Here is a 17,736-nt window from a genome sequence, read left to right as displayed (position 1 = left end):
TGTTGCGGTGAATTGTCCTTTGCTCCCCTGGCTTGTAACATTACCACCATAGACAGTTACACTGTGACGTGGTCAGAAGCTGGGCAGGTGGGTGCTCCTTTGCTAGGTCCCTTGTCCTCACTTCCTGCCTTGCTAGGACAGTCCCTGAGTATCCTGAGGGGCTGGGAGAGCTGGAGTGGCTTCAGGCACCTGGTAGCGGGGTGGATGTCTTCCCCTCAATGCCTCACTCCCACCCCTGCCCCACCTGGGAGTGTAGTAAGACTCTCCATGTGACCGTGGGCATGTCTTTATACCAGGTCAGGCCACCCTTTGGAAGATCCATAAAATTCACCTTAAAAATCTTAAAAGAGGCCGGGCTCACGCCTGTAATCCCAGCACTTTGGGAGGCCGAGGCGAGCGTATCACCTGAGGTCAGGAGTTCGAGATCAGCCTGACTGACCAACATGGAGAAACCCTGTCTCTACTAAACATACAAAATTAGCTGGGCATGGTGGTGCATGCCTATAATCCCAGCTACTCAGGAGGCTGAGGCAGGAGAAACTCTTGAACCCAGGAGGCGGAGGTTGCAGTGAGCTAAGATCGCACCATTGCACTCCAGCCTGGGCAACAGGAGCAAAACTCCGTCAAAAAAAAAAAAAACCTAAAAGAAAAATGTTTGGGGCTGAGCATGGTGGCTCATGCCTGTCATCCCAGCACTTTGGGAGGCTGAGGTGGGTGGATCACCTGAGGTCAGGAGTTTAAGACAAGCCTGACCAGCATAGTGAAACCCCCTCTCTATTAAAAATACAAAATTAGCCGGGTGTGGTGGTACACGCCTGTAATCCCAGCTTCTTGGGAGGCTGAGGCAGGACAGTCGCTTGAACCTGGGAGGCAGAGGTTGCAGTGCCACTGCACTCCAGCCTGGGCAACAAGATTGAAACTCCATATCAAAAACAAAAACAGAAACAAAACCCAAAAAAAGAAAGAAAAATGTTCAGAAGAGCTGATTCAGATGGAAAATCCTTTGACGTTGCAAGAGGCTGTATATCAAATTATATATAATTATAATCAATTAATGCATCTTTGTAGATGATTAGAAAAAATGATCAGGGACACAAAAATGACCACTAAATTTGATATTGCTTTCCAAGATACCTTTCAGGTCTAAATTCCTCTGATTTCAAGATTCTAGTGGCATCCAATTGCTTATTTAAAACATTTAATAACTGGACGTGGTGGCTCATGCCTGTAATCCCAGCGCTTTGAAAGGCCGAGGTGGGAGGATTGCTTGAGCCCGGGAGTTTGAAACCAGCCTGAGCAACATGGTGAAACCCTGTCTCTACAAAAAATACAAACTTTAGCTGGGTACAGTGACATGTTCCTGTGGACCCAGCTGCTTGGGAGGCTGAGGTGGGAAGATTGCTTGAGCCAAGGGGCAGAGGTTGAAGAGATTGTGCCACTGCACTCCAGCCTGGGTGACAGAGTGAGACCCTGCCTCAAAAAAACAAAACAAAACAAAAAACAAATTAATAACAAATCATGGGCTTTGGAACCAAAGAGTTTTGGGTTACAGATTATGTGGTTTTGTTCCTGATACTGGACTTTTCTAAATCTCAATTGCCTCATCTGTGAAATGGGGATGGTAGTACCTCATAGTGTGGTTGTGAAGATCAAATTGGATAGTGCTGTGAAGGCTCAGCACAGGTCCTGCCCATGAGTGTGGATTATCTGTCCTGGCCCATTGCTTTATGTGGTCCTGGGACCTGAGGCCCAGGAGACACACACATTTATTTATAGCATGCTCTGAATTCATGTCTCCCAGCCTACAGGCTGTGGATGCGGAAAGGGGAGCTCAGAACCATGGGAGGATGGAGAAGAAAACAGAGAGAGCTGGTGCTGAGGGGTGAGTACCACAGGGCGCTCTGTCAGGGAGTGGTGGATGCCGAGGGGTGAGTATCACAGGGCGCTCTGTCAGGGAGTGGTGGAGCTTGGCAGTGAAGCTTGGCAGAGGCTCCCTAGAGGAGGGGGCATCACTGCTGGGCTCTGAGGGTCCAGGAGACCTTAGCTAGGCCAAGAGAGAGGTGACGAAGGGAAGGACAGGGGGAACAGCCTGTGTAGCCTTGGACAGCGAAGGGAACGTGATAAGTTTGAGAACCCGCAAATGGAGCCGAGCTGTCAGGTCAGGGTGCGGGTGTGAGTGGGAAGGGGCAAGCTCGGCACGTTCAGCCAGGACATGCCATTCTGCTGAGGGGCTTGGCTTTAATCCTGAAAGTGATGGGGAGCCTCTGGCAGATTTTAGGCAGCAGAGAGGCACAAATTCCCTCACAAACAGCATCCTGTGGTCCCTGGACACCCGAGTCTTATTTTCACGGTGTGTTAAATTGAAGACGATGAGTAACAGGGTGGTGGGCCATCTGGGTACGGATGTGAGCGCAGACAGAAGTGTGTGTTCATGGAAACGAGTGAACGCTCCCAGGTGAGCTGCAGCAGGCTCCAGCAGCAAAAGCCCTGTTTGTCTGACGCCAGGCGCTTCAGAGAATAGGCATTATCAAAGCAAAACATTTGGTTATAAATATTTATAAATATGTGTTGGATTGAATTGCACTTTGGTTCATTCACCATTTATGTCTATAAATATTTGAGAGGCTGCTTGGCATCATGGAAAGACGCAGTCTTTGTAGGCGTGGACAGACAGGGTATGTTTGGTTTCTCCGCGGCGGGAGCAGCTTGATGACCCTGGCCTTGTCACTTCACCTATCAGAGCTTTAGTTTCCACGGTTATAATGACACCCATCTTGCATAGTGGCTGTGAGAATTAGAATAATCTCTGTAGACTCTAGCGTGTGTAGATGACATGATGGACACTCAGTGAATACAGCTATTATTGTTGTTCATTTGTCTCTGTGGTTTTTAATGACTCGGACTCTTGGCTGGGCGTCTGAAGCATTTGGAGTCCCTTTTTGCCTTCAGATGTCCTTACCTATATTAGGGTCAGCCCTCTTTCTTTTCTTTTCTTCTTTTTTTTTTTGAGACAGAGTCTTGCTCTGACACCCAGGCTGGAGTGCAGTAGTGCGACCCCAGCTCACTGCAACCTCCGCCTCCCAGGTTCAAGCAATTCTCCTGCCTCAGCCTCCTGAGTAGCTGGGATTACAGGTGCCTGCCACCAGGCCTGGCTAATTTTTGTATTTTTAGTAGAGATGGGGTTTCACCATGTTGGCCAGCTGGTCTCAAACTCCTGACCTCAGGTGATTTATCCCAAAGTGCTGGGATTACAGGCATGAGCCACTGTGCCCAGCCAACCCTCTTTTTGAAAATAATGCTTTAGAAATGATTTTTTGATAACAAAAGAAAATTTAGAATGTGTCTTGATGTATATGTTAGTGGCAAAGCATAATAATAAAATGAGTATCCATGAATTCACCACCAAACTTAAGCAAAAGAACGTAGCAAAGCTGCAGGAAGGTCCCGTTCCCTCTCCAACCCAACCCCAGCCTCAGCTCCAGAGGGAACCTCTCTACTGACTTCTGTGTTTATAACTTCCTTGATTTCCTTTTTGGTGTTGCTACATAGATGTATATATGTAAGCCTTAGCTTAACTTTTGCTTATTCTCTAACTTTTTCATAAAGGAACCAAACTATGTATATTCCTTTGTAAGAGGCTGGTTTTATTTTTTATTTTTTTGGACTCAGTATTACATTTCTGAAATTCATCCATGATGATGTGGACTGTGGTTCATGCATTTTTCACTATTATGTGGCATTACCACGATTTGCCCACTTTCCTTTTGGTGTGTATTTGGATTGTTTTCAGGTTTTTCCGTGCAAATAATGCTTGGAACATCCTGGCAGGTGCTTCCTGGTGCACAGTTGGGAGAGCGTCTTCGGTGAATACCTGGGAGTGGAATTGCTAGGTCATGGGCACGTGCATCAACTCTACTTGGTCTTAGCAAATCATTTTGCAAATGTAAAGCCTATGAGGAGAGGCTCTGTCATCGGAACTGTTTTGATTAGGCATTGAGTGAAGGGCTGGCACCTCTATATGGTTTCAAGCCGTGGAATTGTTTCTGTTCCTTCTTCCCAGGCACAGAATGTCCTCATTCCATGACAGGCAGAGAAGGAGCCAGCAAATATTTTAAAAGTAAAATCTAGTTTCAGTGATTATTGGGTGGACAGTGGGTCAATGAATAAGGGATTGATCCTTTGCTCTGTTTGGGCCCTTCTGGGAAGGCATTAAGGGTCTGTCCTAACTACTGCCTGGGTGTGGTATATGAGTAAACTGAGCTGAATACAGTGTTCTTTCCCCCTCAATTTCTGGCCCATTTAATGGAGGTTTGCAAGAGAAGAGCCAGGAGGACTGGGCTGTGTCTGCCCGCTGGCTCAGCTTGCACCCAGCAGCTTGGCAGGGACTGAGAGGTTTGTCGGCGATGTTTCTCTTTAATGTGCTACAGAAGGGAAATGAGATGACTGATCAGGCACAAAAGCTGTGGAGAGCACACACGCCAGACCCGCCCCTCACCCCTCCTCTGTGCACCTGCCACTCCAAGGCTCAGGCAGCACTCTTCCAGTATTTACTTTGAAATGTTAATATCCAAACTCCATCGTTTCATCCCTTCCTCTCTGTTTGACAAGGCTAATGGGGTGAAGAGGGAAGATGGCAGAGTTAGAGAGAGCAAGAGATGCATGGAGCGGCAGGAACCCACAGCTTCTCGCTGGGAAAGTTTCCTGTCGGGATGTTTCCAGAACCTTCTTCTGATCACCTCTCCTCCCTGAGCATCTTGGAGGCAGTCCTTCTGCCCTACTTTCTTCCTTTAAGCACCTCTGGAGAGAGTAGCTGAGGTTGCAGATGGTCTCAGAGCACTCTCTACTCATTACAGATAGGAGTGCGGGCATCATTATCGCTAAAAACAAATCCATTGTATTTATTGTGACTTACTAAGTGTCAGGTATTGTGCTAAGCTCTTGAAATGTCTTTTCATCTATTTCTCACTGTAACTCTGTGAGGTTGGCTTTTTTTTTTTTCTTTTGCTTTTTGGTGGAGATGAGGTCTCTTTATGTTACCCAGGCTGGTCTTGAACTCCTGGCCTCAAGCGATCCTCCCACCTTGGCTTCCCAAAGTGCTGGGATTATAGGTGTGAGCCACCATGCCTGGCTTTTTATTTATTTTTTTAGATTGTAATTTTTATTTCATGTTTACAGATGAGGAAACCGAAGCTCAAGAAGTAAAGGAACTTGTCCTTTGTCGCTGCACTCCGACCCTGGGCCCATGTGTGATCTCAGGACCACTGAGTCCCGAGTGTGGCTTTTTTTTTTTTTTTTTTTTTTTTTTTTTTTGAGACTGAGACTCACTCTGTCACCAGGCTGGAGCGCAGTGGCGCGATCTTAGCTCACTGCAACCTCTGCCTACCAGGTTCAAGCGATTCTTCTGCCTCAGCCTCCCGACTAGCTGAGACTACAGGCACATGCCACCATGCCCAGCTAATTTTTGTATTTTTAGTAAAGACAGGGTTTCATCATGTTGGCCAGGATGGTCTTGATCTGCTGACCTTGTGATCTGCTGCCTTGGCCTCCCAAAGTGCTGGGATTACAGGCATGAGCCACCACACCTGGCCAAATGTGGCTCTTAACCACCAGCCGATGCCATGTTGGGCCTTTCGTGAGGGCCCTATTGGGTGGCTGCTCCACCATTGCCATGGGGGAGGTGGATATTGGGGTGTGCTGGGGGCACTGCAGACACACGGAGCCTGGGCCCTCTGGAACTCTCGATTTGGTGGAGGAAAAGGACAAGTTAAAAGCATGAAAGCTCACATTTTCTGCAAGAGCCAAGCGCTTCCTGGGAACTATTTTATTCACTCCTCAGCACTGTTACTCTCCTTTTTTCACAGAGGAGGAAACTGAGGCACGGAGAGGTGAAGTGATGTGGTTAAAGTGACAAAGGAAGTGGCAAAGCTGGCATGTAAACCCAGGCAGCAAGGAGAGCCTACCCTCCTACCCACCTCCCCTGCTGCACCTTCCAGAAGGTCCTCACAGAGGTGCCCACAGGGTGCTGATGCCACCCCAGGGGAGGGCACAACCAGCCCTACAGAGGAGGAGGATGGTAGGGGTCACAGGACTTCCTAAGGGAGGGAAGATGGGAAGAAAGGAGGGCAGCTCAGGCAGTGAACGCTGGGGCAGACACCCCGGGGCAGGGAAGAGCTGGGCACGTGTGTGTGTCTCTTAGGATTCTTTTTGCCCCCGGACCGGAGCCTCACCCCTTTCATCTCTCTTTGTGCAGCACTGCTGGTCCTGCCCACAGGTTAGCAACCCCTCGGTTTGTCTTCTCCTCCTTTGTGTGGGTGACATGGGCCTCGAGTGTGGTTGGTGGGCAGTGGGAGTGGCACCTCTCTGTCCCCAGCCCGGCTCCTGCTTGAGCTCCCCAGGAAGCTGGCCCCATGGGTTGGTTCCCTGTCTTCCACCCTACTCACAGCTCAAAGGGCAGCACGTGGGGGTGGGGCAGGGTCCTTGAGCCTTGGCAGGGCCTCAGCAAGGCAGGACCTGAGCTTTCCCAGCCGGACCTTTGGGGAAGCTGCTTGTGCATTTCCTTGCAATTTCCTTTTCCAAAAATTAGCTGGGCATGGTGGCATGTTTTTCTTTAGTATTCTTCAAGTAGTCCTCCATGGCTTAAAGAGAAAGGTCTTTGAGAACAGGAATTGGTCCATGACCAAAAGGGCTCCAGTGTCAAGGGGAATCAGCAGAGCTCTGGGGTCTCGTGTGATGCAGTTAAGATGCGAGGTTTCTGGGGAGAAGGGGAGGCCCAGGGAATAGAGGTGGCATCCCTTGACCAGCTGCCCTGCCTTACCCCGGGAGAGATGAGATGAGGGTTTTATTTAACAAAGGAGAGGGAGTGAGTCTTTACAAACTAAGCATAGAGTTAAAATAACAACACGTTACCGTTGACAAAGCATGTTGCCATGTGCCATTCCATCCAGCCTCAGCAGCACATGAGCCAGCTCAGGTGAGCATGTCTCCAGGAGGCCCCTGCAGCTGGGGTACTTCCCTCAGGTAGAGTGCTTTATCTTTTGTTTCCAACTTCTTCCTGATGGTATCCCTGTTGGGTACCTTTTCTGGCTTTGGGCCTGTGCCCTTGGCAAACATCCTGGAGGACCCTCAAGGCTCCCTCTTGCATTGTGACTGATAGCTCAGAGTCACTGCTGTACAGAAAGTTTAGATTACTGCCAGCTCTGAATGGATTACCCAGGATTACTGTGTGCCTTGACATTTATCAGCTGCTCCTCCGCTGGTTCCCCAGTCCTGGGACAGTGTTAGGATGCGTGTCGCTGCAGATGTGGCATTTCTCTCCCAAAGAGCATTATGCCTGTCAGTCCCTTGAGCTGGCATTTCCAGGGCAGGCTTACTCTAGGGTTCAGTTATCAAAGTATGAACTCTGCCAGCACAGCCCTCTCTGGACCTCTGGCCTGTCTGCTCAGGGGTAGAGCGGCGCAGCACAAAGATCATAGCCTTGGGGCTGATCCCTGGTCTGTAGATTCCTGTCTCCACCATGTGTGAATGACCTAACTGGGCAAGTTTAAAAAAAAAAAAACAACTTTAATTTGTTTCCTTATTTACAAATAAAGATTTCCCCCAAATAAGCCTACCTCCCAGGGTTATTGCAGGGACTAAATGAAATAACACTTGCGCTGCACTGGGCAATAAACACTAAGTACCGATTAGCTTCCTTCCTTTGCAGTCTGGCAGACCTGAGTCAGATGAGGCCTGATCAGGGGCTCAAATGATGCTACGAGGGCCCAGGCTTCATTCATTCATTCATTCATTCGTTCATTCATTCATTCATTCTCTCTGTCTCTCTCCCTCCCCTAGTCTCTTCCACATAGGCCTCATTTCTGATTTTCCCGTTCTTCATTCATGTCCCAAGATGTTTACAGCAGCTCCAGCTCTGACCTTGCCTTACCTCCAAGTCCCCCAGAAATGACGTTAACCTCTGCCTCAAAAGTCTCACACCATCATAATGGCTTTGATGGGATTCTGTTTCCATCTGGAACTAGACTCCATGGCCAGGCAAATGATGGGCTGGCCCTGGAGCTGGTCATCTCCACCTGACCACAAGACCAGAGTTGGGGAGGGGCGGATCTCCAGACAAAACTGGGGTTACCACTGGGAAGTCCCTGGGAAGTAGGGTGAGCAGAAGCTGCAGACAAAAACAAAACAAAACAAAAACCGGTGGATGCCCACCATGGGTACCATCTGCGGGACCTTCTTGCCTAGAGGTTCTGTCCCATATCCTGACCTCCTGCATGCCTTTCCTGGCATCCACCTGATGGTGCCCTTGGCGGAGGCCTCCGGACCAGATTCCGGGTATGGTTGTCTTTCTGGCTGGTCAATTTCTCTGTTTTGGTCTGGGCTGAGGCTAACCTGGTGAAATGGCTTGAAATGTTGTTACCTGTGGCCTCCAGAGGGGCCACGGCTAACAATGTCCATGTGTCCTGGCCCCATTTTCACCTCAAGTTCCTTAATTAAGACCCTGCGGAGATGCCCTGTGGTCCTGTGATTTATCCACATCTGGTTAGGCAGTCATCTTCTAGATTCTGACCCCGGTTTGATCTGCCATCTCTTCTGCCCGCTTCAGAAAATCATGTGTGAGTTCAGCAGTCTTTAATATGTTTTCTGTAAAGACAGGGATGGTGATTTATGTTCTCTGCTCTCATTACACCACGGTCACTGGAGGCCCCTGCGATGTAGCCAGAGTGCTCCCTGCCACTGACTTGGCAAGGAGGGCCTTGGGTTCCCTTTCATCTGGTTCTTGCTGCTCCTGGGGCCTCATTTATGTGTGCAAGGTGCCCTTTCTGCAGACGCAAGAGCTTGAGTGTGGCCAGGCAGCCCCGCTCAGCCTTTTTGTGTGTGTTTTTGAATCTCCTCATCTTCTTTATCATGACCTGTTTTTATCTTGTCAAATAACTTACCTGCATCTATGTTCAGAGACGGTGGTGAATGGAACTGAGTGGTCATCAGATTTATTTTTCCTGCTGACTTTTTTATGTTAAGGAAGGAGCATGCCCCCCTTCTTTCTATTTATAATTATCCTGGTCCCTAGGACACTGGAAGAAGCCAGCTCTGCCCCCTCAGCATCTTGGCTGAGTATCGGCCAGGTCTCTGTCACATGGAGGGGGCCAAATAGGAGTCGTGCATTTACTGGTGTTATTCAGCTGAATTTAAAAGTGGCCTACTCAGCACCGGGGCTAAGCCCCGCAGATAAGCTTGGTAGGTCACCATCTCACGGGTGGTGACAGGGGTGGGAGGTGGGGTTTCCTGGGGAGATGAGACCAGCGTCAAGGATGAGATATATCCATGAGTGACCCAGCATGCTTGGCCATCCGTGGGAGGCATGACATCCCTCTGGGGATGCATGAGGGATGAATTCATGGAGAAGGTGGCCTTTGAGATGGGTTGTGACGTTGGGTAGGACTTCAGGAGGTGCTGAGAGGAGGAAGGAACTTGCACAGGTGAAAGCAAAGACGAGGGAAGATGTGTGGATTCAGGGAGAGGGAGGCTGTAGCTGGGCACGTGTGGTGGGGTGGGGGCTGGAGGTGTGGATTGGGCCTTGTTACAGGGGCTTGCATCCAAGAGTGAAGGGTCTGGGATGTGTCAGTAGGCAGAGGGGTGTTATTGAAGGGTTCTGAGTGGGCACGTACATTTGCTTGTGTGTGGAGTGACCGGATAGAAACTGAGGTGTATAACAGTTGCTGATGTTAATTGAACACTTACTACATGCAAGGCATGTTCCTACTGCCTTACGTGCATCATTTTCTAAATGTAGGTCACTCTTCTGTTTGGAACCCTCTGATGGCTACTGCTTCATCACAGTGATATCCAAAGTCCCTACCCTTGACTACTTTTCCCCTTTCTCACTCCAGCGACCCTGGACTCCTTGCTTTTCCATGAACACTAAGCATATTCCTGCTTCTGGACCTTGGCACTGACTGTTCTCTGTGCCTAGAATACTCCTTCTCCCAGACACCCATGGGGCTCACTCCCTTCTTCCTTTAGGTCTTTGATCAAAGGCCTTCCCTGCCACCTAGAAAAAGGTAACTCCCACTCGGCACCCCCAGTGCTTTTACCCCTCACCTGCTTGATTCTTCTCTGTAGTACTCACCTCCACCCGCTACCCCACAGAATATGAGCTCCACGGGGCAGGGCTGTGTTCCTTGCTGTATCCCCGCCGCAGGAACAAGGCCACCTGATGCACAGGGGTGCTCAGCAGGTAGTTACTGCATGAGTGACTGTTCTGCAGTCTGCACTCCCGCCGTGGGAGTTGCCTGTCATCATCCTCATCTTGCAGACAAGGAAACCAAGTTGAAGGTCAAGTAACTGGCCAAGGTCACCTGCTGGGAATGGCTGGAGACTGCCTACCTCTGACCCTACCGTGTAACCACATCGCCTTGTCATGGTTGTGACTGGGCAACAACACTCACATCTCTGTCCTAGGGGCTGTGTGAGGTTTTTTTCCAGCTTTATTTTGAACAATGTTTTTGTTAGAAGGTACTTCATTCCCAGAGGGTTCATTAATTGAGGGCGTTGCACTTTGAAGAAATCGCTGTCTAACTTGGGTCTGGAAATCACACTGTGCGCTTTTCAGATGTGCTAAAATAAACGTTTAGAGAAGAAAAAAGGAGTCTGATTGTTGTAAAAATTAGGCAGTTTGGGGAGAGAGCTGGAAGCTTGTTAAAATCCTCACCAAGGGGCCTTGGAAGTCGTTACTAAGGAGACCAATGGTGGGTTCCTTTCTGGTTAGCCGGTGGGAGGGCCTCAGGAATTGCTTGGAAGCTGCTGCTGGGAAAAAGAGTGTTGGGGGTTTTCAGCAGATGTGTGGCCCCAACTCCAGCATGGCTTTGTCCTGATCTGTCCTGCTGCAAAGAGAGGGGAAGCAAGAGACCCTGTTTGGATCTTGGAGAAGGCCAGTGGCGTTACCTTACAGCAGCAGAAATGAGGAAGCACCCGACTCCCCATCTCATTGCCCCTCCCAGGCATGCAGCCAGCCCTCTCTTGGACTCCCTGATGTACTCGCACCTATCCCTGCTGAACGCTTGCTATTGGAGAGCTGCCCATACGGTCTCACCTGCATGAGTGAAGCTGCTCATCAGTTCTTCCGTGCACCAAGCCCAACCTGCTGTCCTGGGACTTGTAAACCCTGGTCACCTGGCCTAGATCTGCCTCCCTTAGAGTATTCAGAGAAGCAGTTAGCTTCCCCCTGTGCCCTTGATTTTGATGGTAGCTCAGACTCTGAGCACTTGCCAGGGACCTGGTGATTGCCAGCTTCTCACATTTAGGATCCATGCACATCCTTACATCACAGTGGAGATATGGAAACGAGTTCCAGAAAACTGACCGCACTTGGTCCTGGAGCTGCTAATGAAGAGTGGGCATACAGACCCAGGTTTGTGGGCCCCCAGGCCTTGTGCTCCCTGGACACTGTATATAAGCAGGTCTCCCAACCTGGTGGCTGCACTGTGACATCACACAACAGTGCACATTGAGCTTGCTGTCATCTACGACTCAGTACCCTGAGCTGCTGCTGAGCCAGGCCTCCCCCATCCACCCCGTGACACTATTACAGAGTGATCATGGCAGCATGTCACACACACATCCTGTGAAGGACAGTCTGCGATGGCCTCTGATGGTGTCCAGAGTGAGCTTTGGCAGTCTCTAAGGTTGTCACCTTTGCGTGTCCCTGCAGTGCCTCCCCGCAGTGCCTCACAGCTTTTTTTTTTCTTTTTTCTTTCTTTCTTTCTTTTTTTTTTTTTTTTGACGGAGTCTTACTCATTCTGTTGCCCAGACTGGAGTGTAATGGTGCAATCTTGGCTCATTGCAACCTCCGCCTCCTGGATTCAAGCGACTCTCCTGCTTCAGCCTCCTAAGTAGCTGGGACTACAGGTGCTCGCCGCCATGCTTGGGAATTTTTGTATTTTTAGTAGAGACAGGGTTTCACCACGTTGGCCAGGCTGGTCTTGAACTCCTGACCTCAGGTGATCTACCTGCCTCAGCCTCCCAAAGTGCTGGGATTACAGGCGTAAGCCACCGCGCCCGGCCACCTCACAGGTTTTAACGTGCATCTACATCACCCTGGGATCTTGTGTCAATGCAGGTCCTGATTCAGTAGGTTCAGGAGGAGCCTGATTCTGCTCGTCCAAGCTGCCAGGTGAGGCTGACCCTGCCGGTCCACGACCACCCTTTGAGAAGTGACATTTGATCCCAGGAAAATAGGGATCACCCTGAGGGCAGGATCCCAGCTGGGTTAGGAGCAATTAGTATTTTCCAAGATCCATGACACTCCTGAATTTAATGATAGTCCAGGCCAGTCCCAACAGTGATCAGACCATGGGAGAGATATTTAGTTTTACTGACTGTGACTCAAGAGGCGTTGTGGCTCAACACACCAGACATGCAAACTCATATCCACCCCCAGAGCAGGGCTGGTGCTGCCTGGTACAGGGGCCATGCTTTGGTTGCTCATAGCCAGTCCAGGCTGCTGTCTGAGGCCAGGAGGCATGTGCAGCACATCCTCCCTGGCACAGCTATCAGAGGAGGGCAGGCCCTAAACCCATAACCTGCTGACTGCAATGGCTCTGTGACACGACATTGCTCCCAGCAGCAAGGTGGGCGGGGGCGATGGGAAGAGCACCAGCTAACAAGCTGCGTGAGTCCAGAGAAGGCACTTGACCTCTCTGGGCTTTCTTGTCATCTGCCAGAAGAGAGGGTTGAACATGTTCATGTTTAAATTCCCCCAGGGTCTGATTTCCTTTGTGTGAGCACTCCGCCACTAGGGGTTCTTTGGCTGGCAAGAGAAACTAGAGAAGTTTTGCTTCCAGGAGGGGAGAGGTAAGTACAGCCTTCTGCTCCCCGAGAGGTTGTCCTGGGCGTGAGTGCAGCAGTGTTCTGGGTTGTCTGGGGAGGAGCGCTCCATCCAATAGGAAGAGGAGCCAGGAAGCTGGTTCTGGTGACTCCCTCTCTATTCTCCTCTGCAGACACTCCATCTGTGTCCCCAGGGGGGCCTATGACTCTCTTCCACCTGTATCTGGTCTCCTTGCGAGGCTTCTGAATGTGCCTTTGGGATTTACTCTCCCTCCCTAGTGCTGGGTGGCCTCCACAGTCCCCTTGGGGACACTGGCAACGTTAAGGGCTCAGTGCCAGCAGGAAGGGGTTCAGCTTCATTGATGCACAGAGAGGTCCATTCCCTTACTGTTTTCTGCTCTTGTAGGTGGGCAGACTATACCCATGGGGCCCAAACCGGCCTGCGTCTGCACCGTCCCTAGAAATACGCAGCAGCACTTTTCCTCCCCTCCCTGAGCAAGCCAGGGAGCCCTGTGGCTTCCAGGGCATTTGCCCTTGTGGTCACCTAAGGCCGAGGCAGCGGCGTACCAACGGGTGGCAGTGGGAGCCCCTCCTTGGTGGGGAGCAGTATTGTATCACTGACATGCCTTAAAATTGCCGATGTGTGATGCTAATGAAAATGAACTGACTTTTATTATTGGTTTTATTGTTATGGTCATTATTTTAATGAATGAATAACAATTATTGTTTCAATTTTTTTTTTTTTGAGACAGAGTCTCGCTGTTGCCCAGGCTGTAGTGCAGTGATGCGACTTGGCTCACTGCAGCCTCTGCCTCCCGGGTTAAAGTGATTCTCCTGCTTCAGCCTCCTGAGTAGCTGGGATTACAGGTGTGTGCCACCATGCCTGGCTAATTTTTTTTCTTTTTTTTGTATTTTTTGTAGAGACAGCGTTTCACCATGTTGGCCAGGCTGGACTTGAACTCCTGGCCTCAAGTGATCCTCCTGCCTTGGCCTCCCAAAGTGTTGAGATTACAGGCATGAGCCACTGCACCCGGCCAAAAATTTTATTATTGCTGTACAATCAATGCATCTCTTGCTGGCTGCACACAGGTGAACCACTCCTGCTGTGCCTTCCCTGCGGGGCTGATGGTCCCCTCATCCACTCCCTGCATGCCGGGTCCCAGCTCAGTGACTTGGGAAGGGGCGTATTCATGTCAAACATGTTTCTGAGTCAAAGTCTCTGTGCTGTATCAATCCAAGAGCCAGCAGGAAGGGTCTCCAACACTAGAACACTTCCTGACTCAAATCGTGTGACATCATGTCACTTATTGTCAATGGGGAGATGCCTGGATTCAAATATTATGTCTTCTAGGGTGATGGAAGTGAGAAAATTGGTTCTCTGGCCACACTCTAAGTATATATTGTCAGAAGATTTTAAATACAGATAAGACATTTAATTATTAAATGGCTTTTCAACGTGAGGCTCAAATGGAGCCTTCTAATTAGCTGTCAGTTCTGTCACAGCCATGACTAGTGTGCCCTGGGCTGGCTTCTCTCCTGATTTTCATGTATAAATTCCATTTCATGGTAACCAGACACTGCGGGGGCACTGCCCGGGGTCTCTGGCCTCCCCTGGGCGAGAAGGTACCATAGCTTCCCTCTCCTTCTGGGACTGCCTTTCCCTGCTCCTAGGTCAGGGCAGGGGACCATCAAGCTGGATTTACTCGAAAAGGATAAGTGAAAGGAAAGACTGGAAGCACCCCGCTCCCTGCACACCTGACACACACGTATGTACACATGCAGAGAAAGGGGGCCAGGCCACAGGCAGAGATGGACACTAGGTGAGCCAGCAGCAGCCAGAGACAGACAGATGGACACCTACCCAGATGTACAACAGATCCAGGAGCTTCTCCTCCTGTCCACTGCCTGCTGTCCCCCACCCCCCCAACCTGGAGTCTTTTTCTCTTTGTGCAATTTTGACTTTTAGAAACTCCGAGGTGGCTGCAGCCCCACTCAGCTGTGTTGAGCCTGCTGCTCTGGGTGGCCGACCTGAGGCAGGCCAGCCTGGTGCGGTGGTGCCTGTGCTGCCTGCATCTCTTCCTTGGGACTCTTCCTGAGATCTCAGGCCCTCCTGTGACTTCAGCCTTCCCTTTTCCCCAGGAATCCCCACATCAAGCCCTGGCCCCTCTCTTCGTCCTGTCTCACGTTCCCAATGGCCTGAGGGAGGGGCAGTCACAGCATCCCCCCAAACTGGACACCCCCCGCGCCTCCACTCCAACCTCCTGTTGCTATTCACGTTAATCATGGCAGCTAACAATGGTGAGGGGCACTGAGAACCAGGTGCTTGGCTGGGCAAGTCACACACGCTCGCTCCCTTGGTCCCCTAACATCCCTGCCTGAGGACCTGGTCTCATTTCCTGCTGCTTTATTGCTCAGGAAACTGGGGACAGGAGGGGCTGAGTGTCCTGTCCAGGGCCACTTGGTGAGGCCAACTCCAGAGTTCCTACTGACAGCCACGTGATACTCCTGCCCTCCATGCCCCCAGGCATTGTCCCTTTCTGGGGGAAGTCAGATCCCTCCATTTGGGAATTGGGAGCCCCATCACTGGTGCTTTAAGGACTATTGTGGCCTCGTGAGGGACTCTCCTCTGCCCTTCCCCTCTTCCAGACATCCTACTTGGTGCTAGGTGTCATCTTCCTGAGACACCACGCTGATCCGCTCTTGTTTTCAAGTCTTCAGTGGTCCTGTGGCTGTGGGTTCAAGTTCCCCTCCCTTACATGGCATTCAAAGGCCTTGGGCACCTGCCCAGCCCAGGCACCTCCTAGCTTGTTTCTCTGTGCACACCACTTGGACCACCAGGCTCTTCAGTTCTAGCCCCAGCACACGCTGGGCTTCCTGCCTCTGCTCACCTACTCTGCCTCGCCAAGTCCTCACCGTACCCCTAGAAGCCCTCACGTCTCCCAGGTCCCTCCAGCCAAGGGGTGTCTTCTCTGACTGAAAACCTGGCCCCTGCCCCTCTCTGCCTAGCAGCTTGGCTTCATCCCAGTTACCACTTCCTCAGCCTGTCTTCCCCAGCTCTGAGTTGGGAGCAGCAGTAGGACTTTTGTGAACAGAAAATGGTACTCAGCACATGTCCGGCCCATAGCGAGAGCCCCAGAACTCTTAGCCCCCCGGGTCATCCCGGTCACTGTTTTCTCAGGATTCCTTAGGGCAGGGCTATGCCTGTGTGCACGTTCACATTCCCTGCACAACCCCACCACTGTCCCATCTGTGGAAGGCACTTGGGGAATAGTGGTTCCAGCTATGATGGTTCAAGGCTATTCATTTTGCCAGACCCTGGTAGCTGGCAGCGCAATCAGAATTTTGCAGATTGAACTATAAACTGGGCTTGCTGATTCATTTGAAATGGCAATATCAACATGATAACATTAACAAAATCGTTAGGCTGGTGATTGCAAATGTACGTGTGGAAGTGAAAGGAAGCACTCTGAACAAAGCAAACACAGCTTGCCATCTCTCTTTGTAGGGCATGGCAGAGAAGTACGAGGACTGATGGCTGCCCACAGATTGTGTATGGCTGGGGAAGGCCTTCCTGGAATAGTGGAAATAATGAGAAATTTAATATTTTGCCTGGGGCTGCAGATTGCAGACCAGGACATATAGCAGAGGGCTGCAGTATAGCAAACTGAACGAATGATCAGAGTGGAGTAAGTCAGGGAAGACTTCCTGGAGGGGGCTCCTTGAGACTTAAAAAACACCCACTACCAAAAGTTTTAGATTGTTTGCTTTTGTATTAGCATCCACATAGGGAAGGCAAGACGTCTTTGATAAAGAAAGAAATCTAAACTGTGGTTGTTCTTTCTATGCTTTTAACAGCTAGTTTTTCCTCCCACAGAAGCATCGTTCTCACCTCTAAACCCCCACCCCACCGCCACCGTCTTAATGAAGTGACCTTTTAGTGCATTGAGTTGGAAATGCTTTCTCTGTAAAAATTATTTCCTCCATGACCCAGGAGTAAATTATTTAGTGGTCTCTGAGACCTTCTACAAGTGAAGTTTCCAAATGAGCCAGATGCATTCCCATGAACTCTGACCTTGCTTAGCAGACATAAAACACAACAGTGAATCTCTCCTGAGACAGCAAAGCATCAAGGCACTCCATGCTCTGGGATCCTCTTTCTCAGGCCCATCAGCGTAGTAGCTGTAGGGATGAGATGTGGTTGCAGTGTTAGACGCAGGAGTGTGTGTGCAGGACGTGGAGGCGCTTGGGTGGGAGCCTGGCCTAGGCTAGGCGGGTGCTAGTGAGGAGCCCGGAGGCAGGGTCAGCCTCTTTTGGGGTGCCAGGCGCTGTGCACTCTCATCTTGCCTTCCTAGTATCCCTGAGAAAAAATGGGAGCTTTGGATGGTACAGAACTCCAGAGAGGAGCAGGAAGGCTGTACGTTTGGCAGACAGCTGGTTGGGCGGTTTAAATTTGTCCAAATGAGGATAAAGCCACCCAGGAGGGGCTTGTTGGTGGCTCTCATTAAATACAAAACTAAATGGGATTTAATTTTTCTGCCTCTATGAGTCTTTTCACACCCAGGCATTTCTAAATCACACCACGTGCCCTGATTCTTGAGAGAGAAAATGTGGTTACTAGAAGTGAGAAAACCGCTGGCCCCTGGGTTTTTCTGGGTTTGCTGGGGGAAGGGGGCTCTCCGCCTCCCCTCTCTCGGGGTCGAGCTGGGGCGGGTGGGCTGTGCTGTGGGCAGGTGGCGAAGCAGCCCTGCAAGAGGTGGGAGTGAGGAGCCGCTGACATTTCATTCCTGGCCCCTCCTGCTCGGGCTCCGTGAAGCCTTTTTAGCTTGGCTGCTGGAAGCTTCGAGCTGATAATCATGAGGGAGTGTAAATGTCAGCGGGCTCCCGGCTTCAATCAGAGCTGTTAAAAATAAGCCTGGC

The 17,736-nt window shown here is 50.5% G+C and overlaps 1 protein-coding gene and 1 long non-coding RNA gene across 2 annotated transcripts in view, besides 2 other annotated features; one reads left to right on the top strand and one right to left on the bottom strand.

Moving 5' to 3' along the window:
* Positions 1 to 17,736, top strand: part of SLIT1 (slit guidance ligand 1) — a 187,922-nt gene that overhangs the window by 71,763 nt on the left and 98,423 nt on the right. The window lies entirely within an intron of this gene.
* On the bottom strand, positions 10,450 to 11,441 carry SLIT1-AS1 (SLIT1 antisense RNA 1). The gene is made up of 3 exons (NR_038330.1): positions 11,087 to 11,441; positions 10,706 to 10,877; positions 10,450 to 10,611 (listed from the first exon to the last, which is right to left on the bottom strand). It is a non-coding gene; the product is annotated as an SLIT1 antisense RNA 1 (long non-coding RNA).
* Positions 12,069 to 12,931: an enhancer, noted in NCBI's record as "H3K4me1 hESC enhancer chr10:98861023-98861885 (GRCh37/hg19 assembly coordinates)". NCBI's record gives its function as "activates a minimal SCP1, AML or CMV promoter by ChIP-STARR-seq in primed H9 embryonic stem cells {active_cell/tissue: H9 hESC(primed)}" and the evidence as "EXISTENCE:reporter gene assay evidence [ECO:0000049][PMID:30033119]".
* Positions 12,932 to 13,796: an enhancer, noted in NCBI's record as "H3K4me1 hESC enhancer chr10:98860158-98861022 (GRCh37/hg19 assembly coordinates)". NCBI's record gives its function as "activates a minimal SCP1, AML or CMV promoter by ChIP-STARR-seq in naive H9 embryonic stem cells {active_cell/tissue: H9 hESC(naive)}" and the evidence as "EXISTENCE:reporter gene assay evidence [ECO:0000049][PMID:30033119]".

The sequence above is a fragment of the Homo sapiens genome, chromosome 10 (genome assembly GCF_000001405.40).
Source record: "Homo sapiens chromosome 10, GRCh38.p14 Primary Assembly".
Lineage (NCBI taxonomy): Eukaryota > Metazoa > Chordata > Mammalia > Primates > Hominidae > Homo > Homo sapiens.
This window is presented reverse-complemented; position numbering and strand designations above follow the sequence as displayed.